At 40.7% G+C, this 19,703-nt stretch overlaps 1 protein-coding gene and 1 long non-coding RNA gene across 2 annotated transcripts in view, besides 3 other annotated features; both read left to right on the top strand.

Moving 5' to 3' along the window:
* Window positions 36-881: an enhancer, noted in NCBI's record as "H3K4me1 hESC enhancer chr18:47792269-47793114 (GRCh37/hg19 assembly coordinates)". NCBI's record gives its function as "activates a minimal SCP1, AML or CMV promoter by ChIP-STARR-seq in primed H9 embryonic stem cells {active_cell/tissue: H9 hESC(primed)}" and the evidence as "EXISTENCE:reporter gene assay evidence [ECO:0000049][PMID:30033119]".
* CFAP53 (cilia and flagella associated protein 53) overlaps window positions 285-19,703 on the top strand; it is a 39,303-nt gene continuing 19,884 nt past the window's right edge. Inside the window, exons 1-5 of the mRNA NM_145020.5 lie at window positions 285-444; window positions 4,561-4,790; window positions 5,543-5,716; window positions 14,996-15,299; window positions 15,804-16,022. Of these exons, the coding sequence (NP_659457.2) occupies window positions 376-444; window positions 4,561-4,790; window positions 5,543-5,716; window positions 14,996-15,299; window positions 15,804-16,022 (996 nt within the window). The 5' untranslated portion in view covers window positions 285-375. The remainder of the gene's footprint in view (window positions 445-4,560; window positions 4,791-5,542; window positions 5,717-14,995; window positions 15,300-15,803; window positions 16,023-19,703) is intronic.
* Window positions 320-389: an enhancer, noted in NCBI's record as "active region_13315". NCBI's record gives its function as "activates an Ori minimal core promoter by ATAC-STARR-seq in GM12878 lymphoblastoid cells {active_cell/tissue: GM12878}" and the evidence as "EXISTENCE:reporter gene assay evidence [ECO:0000049][PMID:35858748]".
* Window positions 560-689: an enhancer, noted in NCBI's record as "active region_13314". NCBI's record gives its function as "activates an Ori minimal core promoter by ATAC-STARR-seq in GM12878 lymphoblastoid cells {active_cell/tissue: GM12878}" and the evidence as "EXISTENCE:reporter gene assay evidence [ECO:0000049][PMID:35858748]".
* On the top strand, window positions 8,704-11,015 carry LOC124904300 (uncharacterized). Its single transcript, XR_007066366.1, has 2 exons — window positions 8,704-8,875; window positions 9,576-11,015. It is a non-coding gene; the product is annotated as an uncharacterized LOC124904300 (long non-coding RNA).

Genomic DNA, 19,703 nt, shown 5'->3' with positions numbered 1-19,703 from the left:
ATTACAAGATATAAATAGCAAAGTCAACTGGAATTGTAATTAGAGCTTTGATTTTTCTTGGGCTAGAGGTTTTTTCTGCCATTCTGATGAACCCTGGAGGAAGGGAGCAAGGTCGGCGGGATTTGGCCGAGGGGCGGGGTGAGGACTGCGCAGGCTCAGCTTCTCAGCTGGAAGAGGAAGTCCCGAGTGCAGGCGTCTGCGGCCCCCATGGTGACCAGACCGACTTCCGCCCGACCCGCCCACCTCTACCGGCCCCTAATCCCGCGAGGCGCACCATGGCAACCAGACTTCTGCGTCGCGGAAGCGGGTCCCGCAGGTCGCCACGGTTGGGGGAAACGCGGCGGACGCCGCCCCCGTCCCGAAGGGGACTCGAAAATGTACAGCCAGCGGTTTGGCACCGTACAGCGGGAGGTTAAGGGCCCCACCCCCAAAGTGGTGATCGTGGTAAGCACAGGATATGTCTGCCAGACCCTACAGCTTTCTCCATCTCTCCGCACTCCAGGCCTGGCCTATCCCACTTCGGCCCCCACCCGGGGCCTTCTCGAGGGGAACGGGTGTCGCCTGATGCAGTGGGTTGAATTTTGAAAGAAGGAAGATAAGGTCGCTCACCTATCTACCCCACCTCTCACCCACTCATCTCCCTCTGTTTTCATCCTTACAGCCTTTCATCTGCCCCCAAAGTTATAATATTTAGGTTCTGTTTTTGGAGAATCACCACTAGGGATCTTAGGGTTTTTCAGTCTCCAAGACACCGGAAGGATGTCTGTCCCCCATGCAGTGGCGAGTGTGTGTTATGGAAAGGGCACCCGGCCCAGAGACAGATCTGGGGGCAGGGCGGGCCTATGATTTGGAGCTGGTCTTTCACTCCTAGGAAAATCGTCTGAGGAAGGGGAATTAGGTTGTGAGTGGTTATAGCACCCAACGCCTTTCCTGTGCCAACTCAACCAGTAACCATTGCTGGACAGAAGTGTCCCTTCAGACCTGGGAAAAACTCAGGTGCCTGCCTCTAAGGCTGGAGTGGTAGTAGGCCAGGAAAATGTGCTTGCTGCAGAATTTGATGGTTCCTGCTGAGAACCTCAGACACTATTGGTCCATACATGTAGATTTTTTTGTTTCTACAAATTAGTTTCTACCCACCAGAAAACTAACATGTAGGCAGAGTTATTGCTTGAGCCCCTGCTGTGTGCGCAGTATTGTGGGAGATACAGGGGTGGATACAATGATCCTGGAAGGTTAACTCTTTATTGAAGCCTGAGCCCTCCCTTCAAGGAGCTTATACAAGTCAAGTATCCCTTATCTGAAATGCTTGGGACCAGAGATGTCTAGGATTTCAGATTTTTTTTTTGGATTTTGGAATACTTGCATATACATAATGCAATATCTTGGGGAGGGGACCCAAGTCTAAACACAGAATTTATTTATATTTCATTACCTCGAAGGTAATTTTATTTTCCCCTTGGGGATGCTGAATAAATATGTGTTGTTTGCTTGTGTTTTGACTGTGACCCCTTACATGAGGTCAGGTGTGAAATTTTCCACTTATGTCATCATGTGGGTGCTCAAAAAGCTTCAGATTTTGGAGCATTTCAGATTTCAGATTTTCAAATTAGGGGTGCTCAACTTGTAATCCAATTGCAAAAAAAAACTTAGGTAGAATGAAACCACTAAAGGTTAGCACGGTAAATAATGATGTGCTATATTGTCTGTGATGTCAGTTGATGGATGAAAGATCAGTGATACAGTTTTATTATGCTCCACAGTGCACATAGCAAACTTCAGTCAACCTATAGACCTGCTCCTTCTTTAGGTCCAAGTACTGTAAGATCTGGAGCTGGAAAGCAGTAGATGGGACACATAAGTAGGCTGTAGGGTTCAAGGTGATAATTATAAACACACTTCATGAAGGACAGAAGATCTACTTTGGGTTCTGTATCCAAACACTGGGCTCAGGGGCTGAGCCATTGTTGGGTGCTATTACTTGTGTTGGGAACCAATAAGGAACAGAAAACAAACAAAAACACTAAACCAGAGAAGCGGGCTTATTGAATACTTTGCACCTAAGAAGAATTAAGAGGAAAAGGAGGAGGTTAGAGTTGGTGCATCTGCTCCTCCGGTGTCTGAGTGTGATAAGAAAGATAGATGTTAGAGGTAGCAGAATTGTGTTGCAAGAATTAAAGCCACCAGCAGATGAGACTTGGACCCTAAACAATTCCCCAGGAGAAACCTGTGAAAAATTTAATGTCTGAAGTAATGGGACATCAAAAGGAGCAGCTATTTGATGAGTGTCTCCTAGGAATCCATTAGGAGGATACTTATTTTGCTCATTTGACAGGTGAGAAAACTAAGATTCAAAGAGATTAAGTAACTTGCTCCATTCAATTAGTAATGGACAGAGGCCAGAATCAAACCTAGGATGTAAAGCATTGTTCTTTAAGACAACCGAACTGTAAATTGTAATCCTAATAACTATAACTGGAGATGCTACAATAACAGCCTTCAGTGACCTTGAAAACCCACAGTAGTTAGTAAAATATCCTGTGTTTTCCTGACTTTAGCATGGTTTAGAGCTGTGATGTCCAATAGGTAGCCACTAGTCACACATAGCATTTGAGCACTTGAAATGTGCCTAGAGTCACATATTGACAAGATAACATCTTGGATATATTGGTTAAATAAAATATACTATCAAAATTAACTTCCCCTGTTTCTTTTTACTTTTTTAAATGCAGCCACTTGAAAATTTAGAATTACATATCTGTTTTGCATTATATTTATATTGAACAGTACAGACTTTGAACAATACCACGACTGTGCTGGGATTGGCATCACCTTTTTTGAGAACTCCAGGTCATACCCCTAACTTATCAAGAGATTGGGTCCTTCCCAGACCAGAGTCCTTCACATGATTCCCAAGCCTTAAAAGGCTTCCTGACCCCTTGGGTACTGCTCATGGTATTTGTCACCTCTTCAGCCAAAATATCCCTCAGCCCTGTTTCCTGTCCTGACAACTGGAGCCAGTGTTTCTAGATTTACTTGGTGTTTCATTCCTGTTCTCAGCTCACACTGGGACCCTTAATTCCTGCTGTGTATGCTGCCAAGGGTGCCACTGTGATCCTCCTCTGCTTTATTTTCACAGATCTATATTCATAAAATGCCAACTGTATTGGAGAACAGTCATCTAATTAGCTGGCTCTAGGCTCCAGATAATTATGACATGGATTAGCTACTTTCCATGATATAACCCCCAGCATCATCTTCTGTCTCCTTACCACCCCAGGCTTGCCTTATCTTGTTCAGCTAAATCTAGGTACCTATATGTGTACCCTGAGCCCTGAATCTTTTCATTAAACTGTCTTCAAATGTTGATTTTCTTTCCTCAGGAGACTTCATTACAAACACCTAACCCTAGTATTCTGGTAATCCTGATGGTGATATTCTAAATGTAAAAGATCAGATTGACTCTCTGTCTCTTAAGAGTTTTGTTTCTGTGAATCAGCACCCCAGTATCTCACAACTTACCTAAGGATGACTTGATAAAACTGTTCCTGAAAATACAAAGCTCAAGACTATGGATTTTATGGTGGCTCCAGGAGGTGCAGAAATTGCATCAAGCCCACCCAGCAACATTGTTTCATTCATTCACTCATTCATTCATTCATTTCTATTGAGGACCTCACTGTAGTAGGCATTATGTTCAATGCTAGGAATACAGAAAGGAAAAAGATATAGGCTATGTGATTTCATTAAGTGTATCTATATATATTCAAATGGTACATGCATTTCTAACTTTTTTAGTGGACATTTCTGTAAAAACAGTACATTTATAGAAATTCAAAGTAGCCCAAAAGGTCAGGAACACACTCTTTGCATTAAAACTTCTGGGCACCATAGAAATAGGAATAAAGTTCTACCACCAGCTTTTTTTCTTTTCCCTCCTCTCTTCCTCCCTCACTTCATTTCTTCCTTCTTAGTCAAAGATCTTTCATTATCACAACTCGTTATATATCCATATACATATACACATATATATACACACACACATATACATGTATATACACACATGTATATTTTTTCTATATATTCGCATAGTAGCACCTTTTCATTGAAAGTATTTTGATGTGATAACTATGGTGTCCAACCGTGAGAAATAATGTGGAATAATGAGTGGCAATGTCAAGGTCGGGAATTAGAAGACCTCTAATTCTTGTTTTATCTGCCCTATTTGAAGCAAGTTCAGCAAATCACTTAATGTCTCTGGGTTTGACTAGACAATCTCAACAGAGTCCTGTTCACATTTTTAACTTTGTAATTTCCATCAACTATTTTTCAAATGGCACATTAGAAATATTTGAGACTGTTTTGATGACATCTTAGGTATAGGCTCAGAGAATGAAACAAGTTACTCTTTAGGTGCATAAGCTGTATTCAGTTGTAGTAGGATGTATTAGTTTTTTATACCCAATTTTATTTAGTATGAGTATTGATTGAGAGCATAACTAATTGAAAATATGCAGTTGATTCTTTGGCTTATTATAAGTGATAGTTGGTTTTTGTTTTCAGAGATCCAAGCCTCCTAAAGGCCAAGGAGCTGAGCACCATCTAGAAAGAATCCGACGCAGCCATCAGAAGCATAATGCTATTTTGGCTTCCATTAAGTCAAGTGAGCGGGATCGCTTGAAAGCTGAGTGGGACCAGCACAATGACTGCAAGATTTTGGACAGCCTTGTGCGAGCAAGAATCAAGGATGCTGTGCAAGGGTTTATCATTAACATTGAAGAAAGACGAAATAAGTAAGGCTCACAAACCTGGGACATAAACCATGAAATATTCCTAAAACCACAATTTGAGATTGACCAGTCAAAAATCAAATTTAGCAAGGATCATGGCTGAGATGTTTATATTAAATCCATAGCTATTGCTGGTTAATATTTTTAATATTTTTATTTGTGATAGCCTGTATTTTGATGAAAAACAATATATTGTTTCATATTTCATTATTTTGATTGAAACCTGTTCATTTTACTCTTTTGTTAAAAATATATATTTCGTATCTTATTTGTATGTGATCAAATAAAATATGGTGCAGTTGGTTGGGCTTAGTGGGTCATACCTATAATCCTACCACTTTGGGAGGCTGAGGTGGGAGGATTGTTTGAGCCCAGGAGTTTGAGACCAGCCTGGGCAACACAGTGAGACCCCATCTCTACAAAAAATAAAAAAACAGCTGGGCATAGGGGCACCTGCCTGTAGTCCCAGCTGTTCAAGGAGGCTGAGGTGGGAGGATCACCTGAGCCCAGGAGGTCAAGGCTGCAGTGAGCCATGATCACACTGCACTCCAGCCTGGGTGACAGAGCGAGATCCTGTCTCAAAACAAAAACAAAAACAAAAACAAAAAAACAAACCAACCAGTCTTATTCTGTGGAAGACTGCAGTGATCTTTCTTTTCTTACAAATTAGACCTATAGTTCTGAAATTGAATATAACGATGCATGTAGCATGACAGTTTTCTTTTTTTTTTTTTTTTTTTGGCTTTTTGTTTCAGGCTACGTGAGCTTTTAGCATTAGAAGAAAATGAGTATTTTACAGAAATGCAATTGAAGAAAGAAACCATTGAGGAGAAAAAAGATAGGATGAGAGAGAAAACTAAATTACTAAAAGAGAAGAATGAAAAAGAGAGGCAGGATTTTGTGGCTGAAAAGCTAGACCAGCAATTCAGGTAATGAAATCAGAAAACACACAAACAGAATCCAAAGTTGGTACATTAAAATAGATTTAAGAATGCTAATTTAAAGTAAATTAGTCTTAAGAGGATATACAGAGTAGTTGTAACTTTAAGTCTTGGCAATATATTACATATCATTGAATAATACAGTGTGTGCTTGAGAACTATGTTCTAATGTTCTGTGCTTGCTTCTCAATTAGAATGGAAGTAACAAAGGAGATTATGTTACTGAACTTTAGGTATTAACCTCACCCTTGCTGTTGGCAGGAAGTTCTTCAAAAGCCCCTGTGCCAAGGAATCTTTGGTAAAGTTGGGCTTTCCCCCTGCTGCTGTAGTCTCTACCTGTGCTGCATGTGTGCTTGGGTTCCCTGGGGGGTTTTTCGGTTGTCATTTTTTGAGACAGGGTCTTGCTCTGTCATCCAGGCTGGAGTGCAGTGGCATGATCATGACTACAACCTCCACCTCCTGAGCCCAAAGTGATCCTCCCACCTCAGCCTCTCAAGTAGCTGAGACTATAGGCACGCGCCACTGTGCCCAGCTAATTTTTTTGTATTTTTTGTAGAGATGGGGGTTTCGTCATGTTGCGCAGGGTGGTTTTGAACTCTTGGACTCAAGTGATCCACTCACCTCAGCTACCCAAAGTATTAGGATTACAGGCATGAGCCACCATGCCCGGCCCTCTCTACTCTCTTCTTTATTGTCTGTTTCCTTGCCTGGTATTCTGATCACTGGGGTCTGATCACCTGGACTTATAAGGCACTTCCTGACCCAGACCCATGGTGACCCTCGGTTTTCAGACCCCTGGTCTTTACTGTACTCAATCTACTCAATCTGGTACTGTGGTTGCCTCTGTATCCCTTTTCATTGTGGTTTTCCATCGTAGGATACTCTGAGTCTGTGCCCTGATAGACTACCCACTACTGTGCACTTACACAGAGGGAAGATTTGTATGGGAGTACCCAAGAGTGATCCTCTGGAGATGATCTATAGTGTTATATAATCAGAAGCTTGGCAGATGCTTTTAGTTTCACAAACCAAGACATTCCTTACCTCTAAAGCAAAAATATACTAAATAGTCTCCCTCCCTAGAGCTACAGCTCTTAGAACAAGAGCTATTATATATTTATAATGTTACTATAATTCCTCAGTTATATTTTCAGTGCTTCTGATACTTCTAAGAGTGTAAACATTAAGAATTGCTGTTATTTGGCTGGGCACAGTGGCTCACACCTATAATCCCAGCACTTTGATCACTTGAGGCCAGGAGTTTGAGACCAGCCTGGGCAACATAGTGGGACCTTATTTCCACAAAAAATAAAAAAATTGGCCGGGCGCAGTGGCTCATGTCTGTAATTCCAGCACTTTGGGAGGCTGAGGTGGGTGTATTACCTGAGGTCAGGAGTTCAAGACTGGTCTGGCCAACATGGTGAAACCCAACTCTACTAAAAATACAAAAATTAGCCGGGCATGGTGGCACACGCCTGTAATTATTGACTATAGTCATCCTGTTGTGCTATCAAATAGTAGGTCTTATTCATTCATTCTTTTTTTTTTTTTTGGTACCCATTAACTGTCCCCACCTCCACCCCCAACCCCCCACTATCCTTCCCAGCCTCTGGTAACCATCCTTCTCTATCTCCATGAGTTCAATTGTTTTGATTTTTAGATCCCACAAACTAGTGAGAACATGCAATGTTTGTCTTTCTGTGCCTGGCTTATTTCACTTAACATAATGACCTCCAGTTCCATCCATAGTGTTATAAATGACTGGATTTCATTCTTTGTTATAGCTGAATAATACTCCATTGTGCATGTGTACCACATTTTCTTTATCCATTCATCTGTTGATGGACACTTAGGTTGCTTCCAAATCTTAGCTGTTGTAAACAGCACTACAACAAACATAGGAGTTTAGCTATCTCTTCAATATACTGATTTCCTTTCTTTTGGGCCTATACTCAGCAGTGGGATTGCTGGATCTTATGGTAGCTCTATTTTTAGTTTTTTGAGGAACCTCCAAACTGTTCTCCATAGTGGTTGTATTACATTCCCACAAACAGTGTACAAGGGTTCCCTTTTCTCTGCATCCTCACCAAGATTTGTTATTGCCTGTCTTTTAGATATAAGCAATTTTAACTGGGGTGAAATGATATCTCACTGTAGTTTTGATCTGCATTTCTCTGATGATCTGTGATGTTGGGCACCTTTTCATATGCCTGTTTGCCATTTGTATGTGTTCTTTTGAGAAATGTCTGTTGAAATCTTTTGTCCATTTTTTGATTGGAATATTGGATTTTTTTCTTATGGAGTTGTTTGAGCTCCTTATATATTCTGGTTATTAATCTCTTTTCAGAGGGATAGTTTGCAAATATTTTCTCCCATTCTGTGGGTTGTCTCTTCACTTTGTTGATTGTATCTTTTGCTGTGCAGAAGCTTTTTAACTTGATATGATCCCATTTGTCCATTTTTGCTTTGGTTGCCCGTGCTTATAGGGTATTGCTCAAGAAATCTTTGCCCAGTCCAATGTCCTAGAGATTTTTCCCCAATGTTTCTTGTAGTAGTTTCATAGTTTGAGGTCTTAGATTTAAGTCTTGGATCTATTTTGATTTGATTTTTGCATATGATGAAAGATAGGGTCTATTTTCATTCTTTTGCATATGGATATCCAGTTTTCCCAGCATCATATATTGAAGAGACTGTCTTTTCCCCAGTGCATGTTCTTGGCTCCTTTGTCAAAAACGAGTTCACTGTAAGTGTGTAGATTTGTTTCTGGGTTCTCTATTCTTTTTCATTGGTTTATGTGTCTGTTTTTATGCCAGTACCATGCTGTTTGAGGTACTATAGCTCTGTAGTATAATTCGAAGTTAGGTAATGTGATTCCTCCAGATTTGTTATTTTTGCTTAGAATAGCTTTGGCTATTCTGAATCTTTTGTGGTTCCATACAAATTTTAGGATTGTTTTTTCTTTTCTTTTCTTATTTTCTTTTATTTCATTTTATTTTGAGACAGGGTCTCACTCAGTTGTCCAGCCTGGAGTGTATGTTGCCCAAGGTGGAATGCAGTTACAGGATCTCAGCTCCCCGCAACCTCTGCCTCCCAGGTTAGGTTCAAGCAGTTCTCCTGCCTCAGCCTCCCAAGTAGCTGGGACCACAGGTGTGTACTGCCACCCTCAGCTAATTTTTGTATTTTTAATAGAGACGGGGTTTCCCTATGTTGCCCAGGCTGGTGTCGAACTCCTAGTCTCAAGTGATCCACCCACCTTGGCCTCCCAAAGTTCTGGGATTATAGGCATGAGCAACTGTTTTTTCTGTTTCTGTGAAGAATGTTATTGGTATTTTCATAGGGATTGCGTTTTGTCTGTAGATTGCTTTGGGTAGTATAGAAGTTTTAATAATATTGATTCTTCCAATCCAAGAACATGGAATATGTTTCAATTTTTTGATGTCCTCTTCAATTTCTTTCATCAGTGTTTTATGGTTTTCATTGTAGAGATCTTTCACTTCTTTGGTTAATTCCTAGGTAATTTTATTTATGGCTATTGTAAATGGGATAACTTTTTAAATTTCTTTTTCACGTTGTTCAGTGTAAGCATATAGAAATGCTATTGGTTTTTGTATGTTGATTTTGTATCCTGCAACTTTACTGAATTTGTTTTGCAGTTCTAAGACTTTTCTTGTGGAGTCTAGATTTTTCCAAATATAAGATCGTGTCATCTGCAAACAAGGATAATTTGACTTCTTACTTTGAAATTTGGATGCCCATTATATCTTTCTCTTGCCTGATTGCTCTAGCTAGGACTTCCAGTGCTATGTTGAATAATAGTAGTGATGGTGCATTTTGCCCCTTTTTTCAGATACATCTCTCAGTGCAGTGATGATCACATGAATGACCCATGGAATGCCCTAAATCATCGATTTCATCTGTCTTTTAATTTTAGAGTAACTGGCTAAAGTTTTTGTATTCAGAAGGGATTTTTACAGTCCAAAATATTACCTGGAAGTGTTTAAAACATAGCCATTAGCATTCATTCATTCAGTAAGTATTTTTGGGCTCCTACTTCATGCCAGGCTCTGTGAGAGTGAGTGTCACTTAGGTTGTTAGGTCATCTAGTATGAGTGGGGCAAGGTGTGTATCATGTTAAGCCAGATTCAGGAATGGATGATCCAAAAATACCTGAGTTTAAATCTGGTGGAATACAGAAGGAATACAAGAGTTCATTTTTCATAGCACTCAAAATTTGAGTAGACCAGAAATCCAAAGGTCAACAGATGTGAAAAAGCAGCAAAATGACATCTGTGGAGGGATCAAGACATGGTGCAGAGAAAAGCTTCTTCCATCTGCTCTTTCTGTCATGAATTCGCTATTAATAATATGGACAGCCCTAAACCCTCAACCCTCTTACTAGAGGCCAAAAGGAGAAGTAAGCCATTGCAGTGAGTAGTAGATAAAAGTTGCAGATGCAGCTGCTAAAAGTAAATTCCCTCTCAAAAGGAGAGGGAATGGGAAGTTTCAGGGCTTGGGGAGCTGCTGAAGGAGGGCAGTGAAGAAACCCGGAGTAGTAACGCACAGGGCCAGACGCGACTTGCCACCCTCCTTGGCTTGTAGATGGATAACTGAGTTCTACAGGTAGGGATTTGTCTAGGTCTTAAGCTTGAGGTAACCAAAAGAGGATTAGACTTGGATTTTCAAGCCTGTGTAAAGCATGCACTCATACCCTGTCCTCAGTGGGATTTGGACATCTTTGCTACTGGTTGCTGGGGGGAAAAGATGCTGTGGGTGGAAAATGGTATATTAGCCAAGTGACTCTCAATGGACCATTCATATATTTTCTACTCCCTAGTAAATTTATCTTAACATATTAAGAAAACAAAATGGTTCGTAAGTGGTTGTGCTTTTAAAATTTATGGATTTAGCAACATTTTACAGATTTCACTTGTATGACTGAGTTTTTGCTAGTTAGATGAATTGTTAAAAATCTTAAAGAAACGAATGTATCCTATAGTAATATAATTTGAAAACAAATTGTTTTTAGTGTTTTGAATGAAGCACTGCCAACTCCTCAGCATAGATCCTCAGACATACTTTTGAGTAAGGATGCGTTATTAGACCCTATTACTGAAAATATAGTTGAGGCTTTAATATGTATATTAATATAAAGCAGAATGAAAATTTTCCTCTTTTTTTTTTTGTATTCCATTGTATAAATATACCACAATTTATTTCTTCTCCTGGTGACAGTCATTTCAGTTATTTTCAGTTTGGGACTCTTATGAATAAATCTACGATGAATAGACATGTCCTTTGATGGCATATGCATTCATTTCTCTTTGATATATTCAGTGGCATTCATAGAATATTTGATACCTGGAGTAGATCATTTTTAGTGATCCCTATCTTCTATACAGCAAAATTATTTTCAGCAATAATAATGAAATGAAATGGATAATAATGACAAGAAAAAATTACCAGTGGTTTTTTTTTGTATTTAATTTTTAATTTTAAATAATTATATATTTACAGAAAGTGCACAGATAGTACAGAGATCCCATTTACCCTTCACCTAGTTTCCCTCAATGGTTATATCTTACATAATTGTAATACAATATTAAGACAAGGAAACTGATAGTCATGGAAGGTGTGTGTAGAGTTCTGTGCCATTTTATCACCTGTAGACTGTGTAACCACCCTACAATCAAGATACAGAACTATTCCATCACTGCAAAAATCTCCTTCATGTTACTCTTCTAGAGTCATGCCCACTACTCTCACCCCCATCATTCCTAACCCTGGCAACAACTAATCTCTATCCCCATAATTTCATCATTTTAAGAATGTTATATAAATGGAATCACACAATATGTGATCTTTAGAGATTGGCCTTTTTCACTCAACATAATGCCTTTGAGGTCCATCCAAGTTGTTGGAGGTATTGTTAGTTTGTCTTTTTTATTGCTGAGTAGTATTCCATTGCATGAATGTACCTCAGTTTGGTTAAACCGTTCACTTACTGAAGGACATTTTGGTTGTTTCTAGTTTTGCTCTATTATAAGTAAATCTGACAGGAACGTTTGTGTACAGGTTTTTGTGTGAACATATGTTTTTGTTTATTGAGGATAATTATCATATACTATTGCTGGATCATATGCAAATTTGTTTTGTTTTGTTTGAGACAGAGTTTCACTCTTGTTGCCCAGGCTGGAATGAAATGGCGTGATCTCGGCTCACTGCAGCCTCTGCCTCCTGGGTTCAAGTGATTCTCCTACCTCAGTCTCCCGAGTAGCTTGGATTACAGGCATGCACCAACCAAGCCCGGCTAATTTTTTGTATTTTTAGTAGAGATGCAGTTTCTCCATGTTGGTCAGGCTGGTCTTGAACTCCCGACCTTAGGTGATCCGTCCACCTTGGCCTCCCAAAGTGCTGAGATTACAGGCGTGAGCCACCACTCCCAGCCATAAATGTAATTTTTTCTTTTTTAATAAACACTAAACTATTTCCTAGAGTAGCTGTACCATTTTATAATCCCACCAGCGGTATATGAGAGATCCAGTTTTTCCACATCCTGGTCCTTTTGGTAGTGGCGTTATTGTTTTGTTTTGTTTTGTTTTTATTTTTAGCTGTTCTAATAGGCGTGCTGTGATATCTCATCATGGGCTTAATTGGCATTTACCTAATGGCTGGTGATGTTGAGCAACTTTTCATGTGCTTATTTTCCATCTGTACATTTTCTTTGGTGAAATGTCTCTTTATATCTTTTGCCCATTTCTAATTAGATTTTTAGAATTTAGCTTGTTTTAGCTGCTAAGTTTTTGCCTTTTTTTTTTTTTAGCTGTTAAGTTTTAAGGATTCTTTATGTATTCTAGACAGTACTTCTTTGTCCGATACGTGGTTTTTTTCCTAGACTATAGCTTATCTTTTTTTTTTAAATGGTTTTTTCTTTTCTTTCCCCAGACATTCAGCAGTCTTGTCTTATTTATCCTATTAAAAGGATCTTTTACAGAGCAAAAGCTTTTAATATTAATGAAATCAAATTTGTCAATATTTCTTTTATGGATTGTGCTTTTGGTACATTATGAAATTTCTTTTTAAATGCCCTGTAATTATACATGGTTAATGATTAGACCCCAGATTAAGGTAGGCATTTCGAGGGTTTGTTTTGGGGTGTTTTTATTAACGAATACCCTAGGATGTTTGGTCAGAATGCCTGTGGATCAGAGGTAGTCTTGCCTCTGTCAGTTGCTGGCAGAGGTGATGCAATGAAACACCAAAGAATCCAGACTCCAGGGCCACACTGCCAGCTCTTCAGTCCCAGTTCTACCACATATGAAATGGACAAACTTAGGTAAGATGCTTAACTGCTGTGTGCTTCCATTTCCTCATCTGTAAACCAAGGACAATAAAAATAATAAAAATAAATTTGCAGTAATGTTCATTGCCATATTGATTATTATGAAGATTACAAGAGTTCATATGTGTTAAAGTGCTTAGAATAGTGTCTGGCAGATAATAAGCACTTAATAACTTTTGCTAATAATATTCCTACTACTGGTTATGTGACTTGGGAAGACACTTAGGCTCCCTGAGTCTCTGTTGCTTTAACTCTAAGATGGGGATGATACCTGCTACCTGCAAACTATAAAGCACTCACAAACATAAAGTTTTCCTCTTATCAATGATTATTATCATTAGAATAAATAAATATTCTGTCTATCATTTAATTTATTTTTTTAGAAACTGGGTCTTACGGCTGGGCGCAGTGGCTCACGCCTGTAATCCCAGCACTTTGGGAGGCTGAGGCGGGTGGATCACAAGGTCAGGAGATCAAGACCATCCTGGGTAACACGGTGAAACCCCGTCTCCACTAAAAATACAAAAAATTCTCCAGGCGTGGTGGTGGGCGCCTGTGGTCCCAGCTACTCCGGAGGCTGAGGCCGGGGAATGGCGTGAGCCCGGGAGGCAGAGCTTGCAGTGAGCCGAGATCGTGCCACTGCACTCCAGCCTGGGCGACAGAGCGAGACTCCGTCTCAAAAAAAAAAAAAAAAGAAACAGGGTCTTACTGACCTAGAGTGCAGGTTAGAACGCATTGGTATGGTCCTAGCTCACTGCAGCCTCAAACTCCTGAGTTCAAGTGGTCTTCTTGCCTCAGTCTCCCAAGTAGCTAGGACTACAGGCGTGTGCCAGCATGCCTAGCTAATTTTTTAAAAACTTTTGTAGAGACAAGGTCTCACTGTGTTTCCCAGGCTAGTCCTAGTCTCCAGCGATCCTCCTGCCTTGGCCTCCCAAAGTGTTGGGATTACAGATATGAGTCACCATGCCTGGCCAGATATCCTATCTAGCTATAGTGAGCATCTCAGCCTGGTGTAGTGGCTCATGCCTGTAATCCCAGCATTTTGGAAGGCTGAGGCAGGAGGGTCACTTCAGACTAGGATTTTGAGACCAGCCCTGGCAACATAGCAAGACCCTGTCTCTACAAAAATAAAAATTTTTTAATTAGCCAGACACGGTGACATGTGCTTATAGTCTCAGCTACTTGGGAGGCTAAGGTGGGAGGATCACTTGAGGCCAGGAGTTCAAGGATGCAGTGAGCCATGATCACGCCACTGCATTCCAGCCTGAGCGACAGAGTGAGACCTTGTCTCTTAAAAAAAAAAGTGAGCAGCTGGGTACGGTGGCTCACGCCTCTAATCCCAGCACTTTGGGAGGCTGAGGTGGGCGGATCACAAGATCAGGAGATCAAGACCATCCTGGCTAACACGGTGAAACCCCGTCTCTACTAAAAATACAAAAAAATTAGCCAGGCGTGGTGGTGGTCACCTGTAGTCCCAGCTACTCAGAAGGCTGAGGCAGGAGAATGGCATGAACCCGAGAGGTAGAGCTTACAGTGAGGTGAGATGGTGCCACCGCACGCCAGCCTGGGCAACAGAGCGAGACTCTGTCTCAAAAAAAAAAAGAAAAAAAGTAAGCAACCCTAAATTAGGGGTTCTCAAAGTCAAGTGAATAGGTCAGTCATTGGGGTTAACAGGTTGAGTTTTTGATCTGAGATCACACAGGAAATGGAGTCAGGGCTGCCTTTGCTTTACTCCAGTTTTCATAGTCAGGCTGTGCCATCCTGGTGCTTGCCCTCCCTGCTGCTCCCTCTTGTTTCCTGTGCTCCGATGGCCTGCATCCAGGTCTCTGATTTTTCTTGCTTCATTGTGTGATTGTACAGATGTGTGCCTCAATAGAGCAGTGCCTCACGAAAGGCTGGGTTTTGTCTTTTTAAAATTTTCCTTTCAGGGAACGCTGTGAGGAGCTCCGTGTTGAATTGTTATCTATCCATCAGAAGAAGGTGTGTGAGGAGCGGAAAGCACAGATTGCATTTAATGAGGAGCTGAGCAGGCAAAAGCTGGTGGAAGAGCAGATGTTCTCCAAACTCTGGGAGGAAGACCGATTAGCCAAGGAAAAGCGAGAAGCCCAAGAGGCGAGGAGACAGAAAGAGCTGATGGAGAACACACGCCTGGGGCTGAATGCCCAGATCACCAGCATCAAGGCACAAAGGCAGGCGACACAGCTGCTGAAGGAAGAGGAGGCACGCCTTGTGGTGGGCCTTTAAAATGCTTGTTAGAGGGTGATCAACGCCATGGGTGTAGTACAGTTTGCAGGCCTGTTACAGTACAGTTTGTCTGATGGCCTGGGCTAGTTCACAGGCACATTTCCATTTTTGGACTCTTAGTGCTGTTTAATAATGTATCCAAATGTGTGGTGCAGAGTTCATAGAAGGGTCAAGTGTGGAAGGCCAACGCACCCACAGGTGGAGAATGGTGGTGGATGATGGGTACTGGGATTAAAAGTAGTTTCTGTTTATACTTTTCTGTTTTCAACTCTACAACTATTTATTACATTATAATCACACATGCCCAGGCAATTTTCACAGTTTTATTGCTGACTCAGCTACGAAAAGGAAGGTTTTCTTTCTTACAGCCTCTCTAAATCCAGGTGTGTGTGTATTTCCAGAAATCCTTTATTCCCATCTCTGAAGTCAAATGCACTAACTTGTCTTGTCCAACTGTACTGATGCATTATCTTTATTATGATTCTACCTTAGGAAAGTAACAACGCACAGATTAAACATGAGAATGAACAGGATATGCTAAAGAAACAGAAGGCAAAGCAGGAAACTAGGACCATTTTGCAAAAAGCCCTACAAGAGAGGATAGAACATATTCAGCAGGAATACAGAGACGAACAGGACTTGAACATGAAGCTCGTGCAAAGGGCCCTTCAAGACTTACAGGAAGAGGCAGATAAAAAGAAACAAAAAAGAGTAAGACATTTTTTTGGTGCCTGCTACCTGCTGGAAGGGATTCCTTACTGAGTTCTCAGTCTTGTGGAAGATGGCTTCAAATATATAGCAGTGCTACTCTGAGTGTGGTCCACAAGCCAACAGCATCAGCACCATCTGGGAAAATGTTAGAAACAGAAATTCCCAGGCTCCAGAATCAGGATCTCCCAATCAAAATCATGACAGGGGCAGGAAATCTGTGTTTCAGCACACTCCCCCAGGTGATTCTGATGCTAACTAAAGTTTGAGAACTCCTGGAATTTGAGAAAGACATTACTCAGAAAGTGACATTTGAGTTGGACCTTAAAGGATATGTAAAGTTTTGTCAGGCAAAAAGAGAAGGGAAAGGCATTCAGTATTGAGTTAACTACCTATACGTTTGGAATTTGGATTGAACTTTTAAGAGTGTTTTGTTTCTCCCACAAGTGCTTTTTCTTGTTTTTACCTGGTTCTTAGTGTGCATGTACTTTGATTTTTAATTAAACTTCTCTCTCTCTCTCTCTTTTTTTTTTTTTTTTTTGAGACAGGGGTCTCACGCTGTAACCCAGGCTGGAGTGCAGTGGCATAATCATGGCTCACTGTAGCCTCGCCCTCCTGGGCTCAAGCAATCCTCCCACCTCAGCCTCCCGAGTAGCTGGGACTACAGACATCCACCACCTAGCCTGGCTAATTTATGTATTTTTTGTAGAGACAGGGTTTTGCCAAGTTGCCCAGCCTGGTCTGGAGTGGGCTCAAGTGATCCTCCCACCTCAGCCTCCTAAAGTGCTGGGATTACAGGTGTGAACTACTGTGCCTGGATAAACTTTTCATTTTGATATGATTGTAGATTCACATGCAGTTTTAAGAAATAATACAGAGAGATTCCTTGTACCCTTTACTCTGGTTCCCTCAATGGTAATATCTTGCAAAACTATAGTACCATGCCAGTCAGGATGTTGACATTGATATAATCAAGATACTGAACATCTCATCATCACCAGGATCTTTCATATTGCCCTTTTATAGACACACCTACTTCCCTCTTGCCCCACCCCCTTCTTAACCCTGTTCTTCATTTCTATAATTTTATTATTTTGGGAATGTTATATTAGTAGAATCATATAGTGTGTAATCTTTTCAGATAGCCTTTTTCACTTAGCATAACCCTCAGGAGATTTGTCCAACTTTTTGGATCTATCAATAGTTGTTTCTTTTTCTTTTTCTTTTTTTTTAATTTTTTTTTTTGAGACAGTCTTGCCCTGTCACTCAGGCTGGAGTGCAGTGGTGTGGTCTCAGCTCCCTGCAGCCTCAACTTCCCAGGCTCAACTGATACTTCAGCCTCAACCTCCTGAGTAGTTGGGATTACAGGCACAAGCCACCATGCTCAGCTAGTTTTCTTATTTTTTGTAGAGATGGGGTCTCACTATGCTGCCCAGGCTGGTCTTGAACTCCTGGGCTCAAGTAATCCTCCTGCCTTGGCCTCCCAAAGTGTTGTGTTTACAGGCATGAGCCACTGCACCCAGCCTTCTTTTTATTCTTTTTTTTTTTTTTTTTTTTGAGATAGAATTTTGCTCTTGTTGCCCAGGCTGGAGTGCAGTGGCGTGATCTCGGCTCACTGCAACCTCCGCCTCATGGGTTCAAGCGCTTTTCCTGTCTCAGCCTCCCGAGTAGCTGGGATTACAGGCGGGTGCCACTGCGTCTGGCTAATTTTTGTGTTTTTAGTAGAGACAGCGTTTCGCCACGTTGGCCAGGCTGGTCTCAAACTCCTGACCTCAGGTAATCAACCTGCCTCGGCCTCCCAATTTATTCTTGAGTAGTGTTCATGGTATAGATTTACCACAGTTTGTTTAGCCATTTACCTGTTGAAGGACATTTGAGTTGTTTCCAGGTTATGGCTATTATGAGTAAAGCTGCTATAATCATTTGAGTACAGGTTTTTCTGTGAACACATTCTCACTTTTTTTTTTTTTTTTTTTTAGGCGGAGTCTTGCTCTGTCACCCAGGCTGGAGTGCAGTGGCATGGTCTCGGCTCACTGTAACCTCCACCTCCCGGGTTCAAGTGATTCTCCTGCCACAGCCCCCTGAGTAGCTAGGATTACAGGTGTGTGCCACCATGCCTGGCTAATTTTTTCTATTTTTAGTAGAGATGGGATATCACCATGTTGGCCAGGCTGGTCTCAAACTCCCAACCTCAAGTGACCCACCCACCTTAGCCTCCCAAAGTGCTTGGATTACAGGCATGAGCCACCACACCTGGCACAAATCATCATTTCTATGAGATAAATGCCTAGAAGAGCAATTGCTATGTCATATAGTAATTGCATGTTTAGTTTTTTAAAGAAACTGCTAAACTGTTTTTCAGAGTAGCCATACCATGTTACATTCCCACCAGCAATACATGAGCAATCCAGTTTCTCCACATCCTCACCAGCATTTGGTGCTATCACTATTGTTCACTTTTAACCATTCTGATAGATGTGTAGTAACATCTCATTGTGGTTTAATTTACATTTCCCTAATGGCTAATGATTTTGAACAACTTTTTATGAGCCTGTTTTCTATCTGTATGTCTTCTTCAATGAAATGTCTCTTCATGTCTTTTGCCCATTTTCTGTTTTTTTTTTTTTTTTTAATTTTTGTTGAGCCAGTATCTCACTCTGTCACTTAGGCTGGAGTACAGTGGCATGATCATAGCTCACTGCAGCCTCCAACTCCTGGTTTTTGTCCATTATCTAATTGACTTGCTTATTTGATTTCTTTTTCCTGTTGAGTTTTTTGTTCACATTTAAATCATTTTTTTAACAGCTTCAAGAGAGAATTCACATAACATCCAGTTCCCCAGTTTAAACCATACAATTCAGTGGATTTTACTGTTTTCACAGATATGTGCAGCTGTCATCACATTTTATTTTAGAACATTTTCACTATCCTGCTATCCCTTCTTCCCCACCTCCTGCCTCCAGTCCTAAGCAGCCACTTATCAACTTTGTGTCTCTATAGATTTCCCCATTCTGGACTTTGATATGAATGGAATCACATGTTATGTGACCTGTTGACTGTCTTCTTTCACTTAGCATAATGTTTTCAAGATTTATCCACATTGTAGCATGAATCACTATTTTATTTGTTTATGTGGCTGAATGATATTCCATTGTATGGATATGCCACATTTTGTTTATGCATTATGTCAGTTGATGGACATTTGGGTTATTTCCACTTTTTGGCTATCATGAATAATGCTACTATGAACATTCATGTACACATTTTTGTGTGGACATATGTTTTTATTTTTCTTTGGGGCATGTATCTAGAAGTAGTACTACTGGGCCATACGGTAACTCTGTGTTGAAGTTTTGAGGAACTGCCAAACTGTTTTCCAAAGTGGCTGAACCATTTTACATTCCCACCAGCAGTGTATGAGGGTTTTGATTTATCCACATGCTCACCAACACTTGTTATTGTCTGTTTTTTTTATTTTACCCAGCCTAATGCATCTGAATTGGTATCTCATTATGGTTTTTATTTGTATTTCCCTAGTGACTAATGATATTGAGCCTCTTTTCCTGTGCTTATGGTCATTTGTAGATCTTCCTTGGAGAAGTCTATTTGAAGGCTATTCTCTATTCTTAGAGAAGTCTATTCAAGTCCTTTGCCCATATTTTAGTTGGGTTATTGGTCCTTTTA

Source organism: Homo sapiens, chromosome 18 (assembly GCF_000001405.40).
Source record: "Homo sapiens chromosome 18, GRCh38.p14 Primary Assembly".
Lineage (NCBI taxonomy): Eukaryota > Metazoa > Chordata > Mammalia > Primates > Hominidae > Homo > Homo sapiens.
This window is presented reverse-complemented; position numbering and strand designations above follow the sequence as displayed.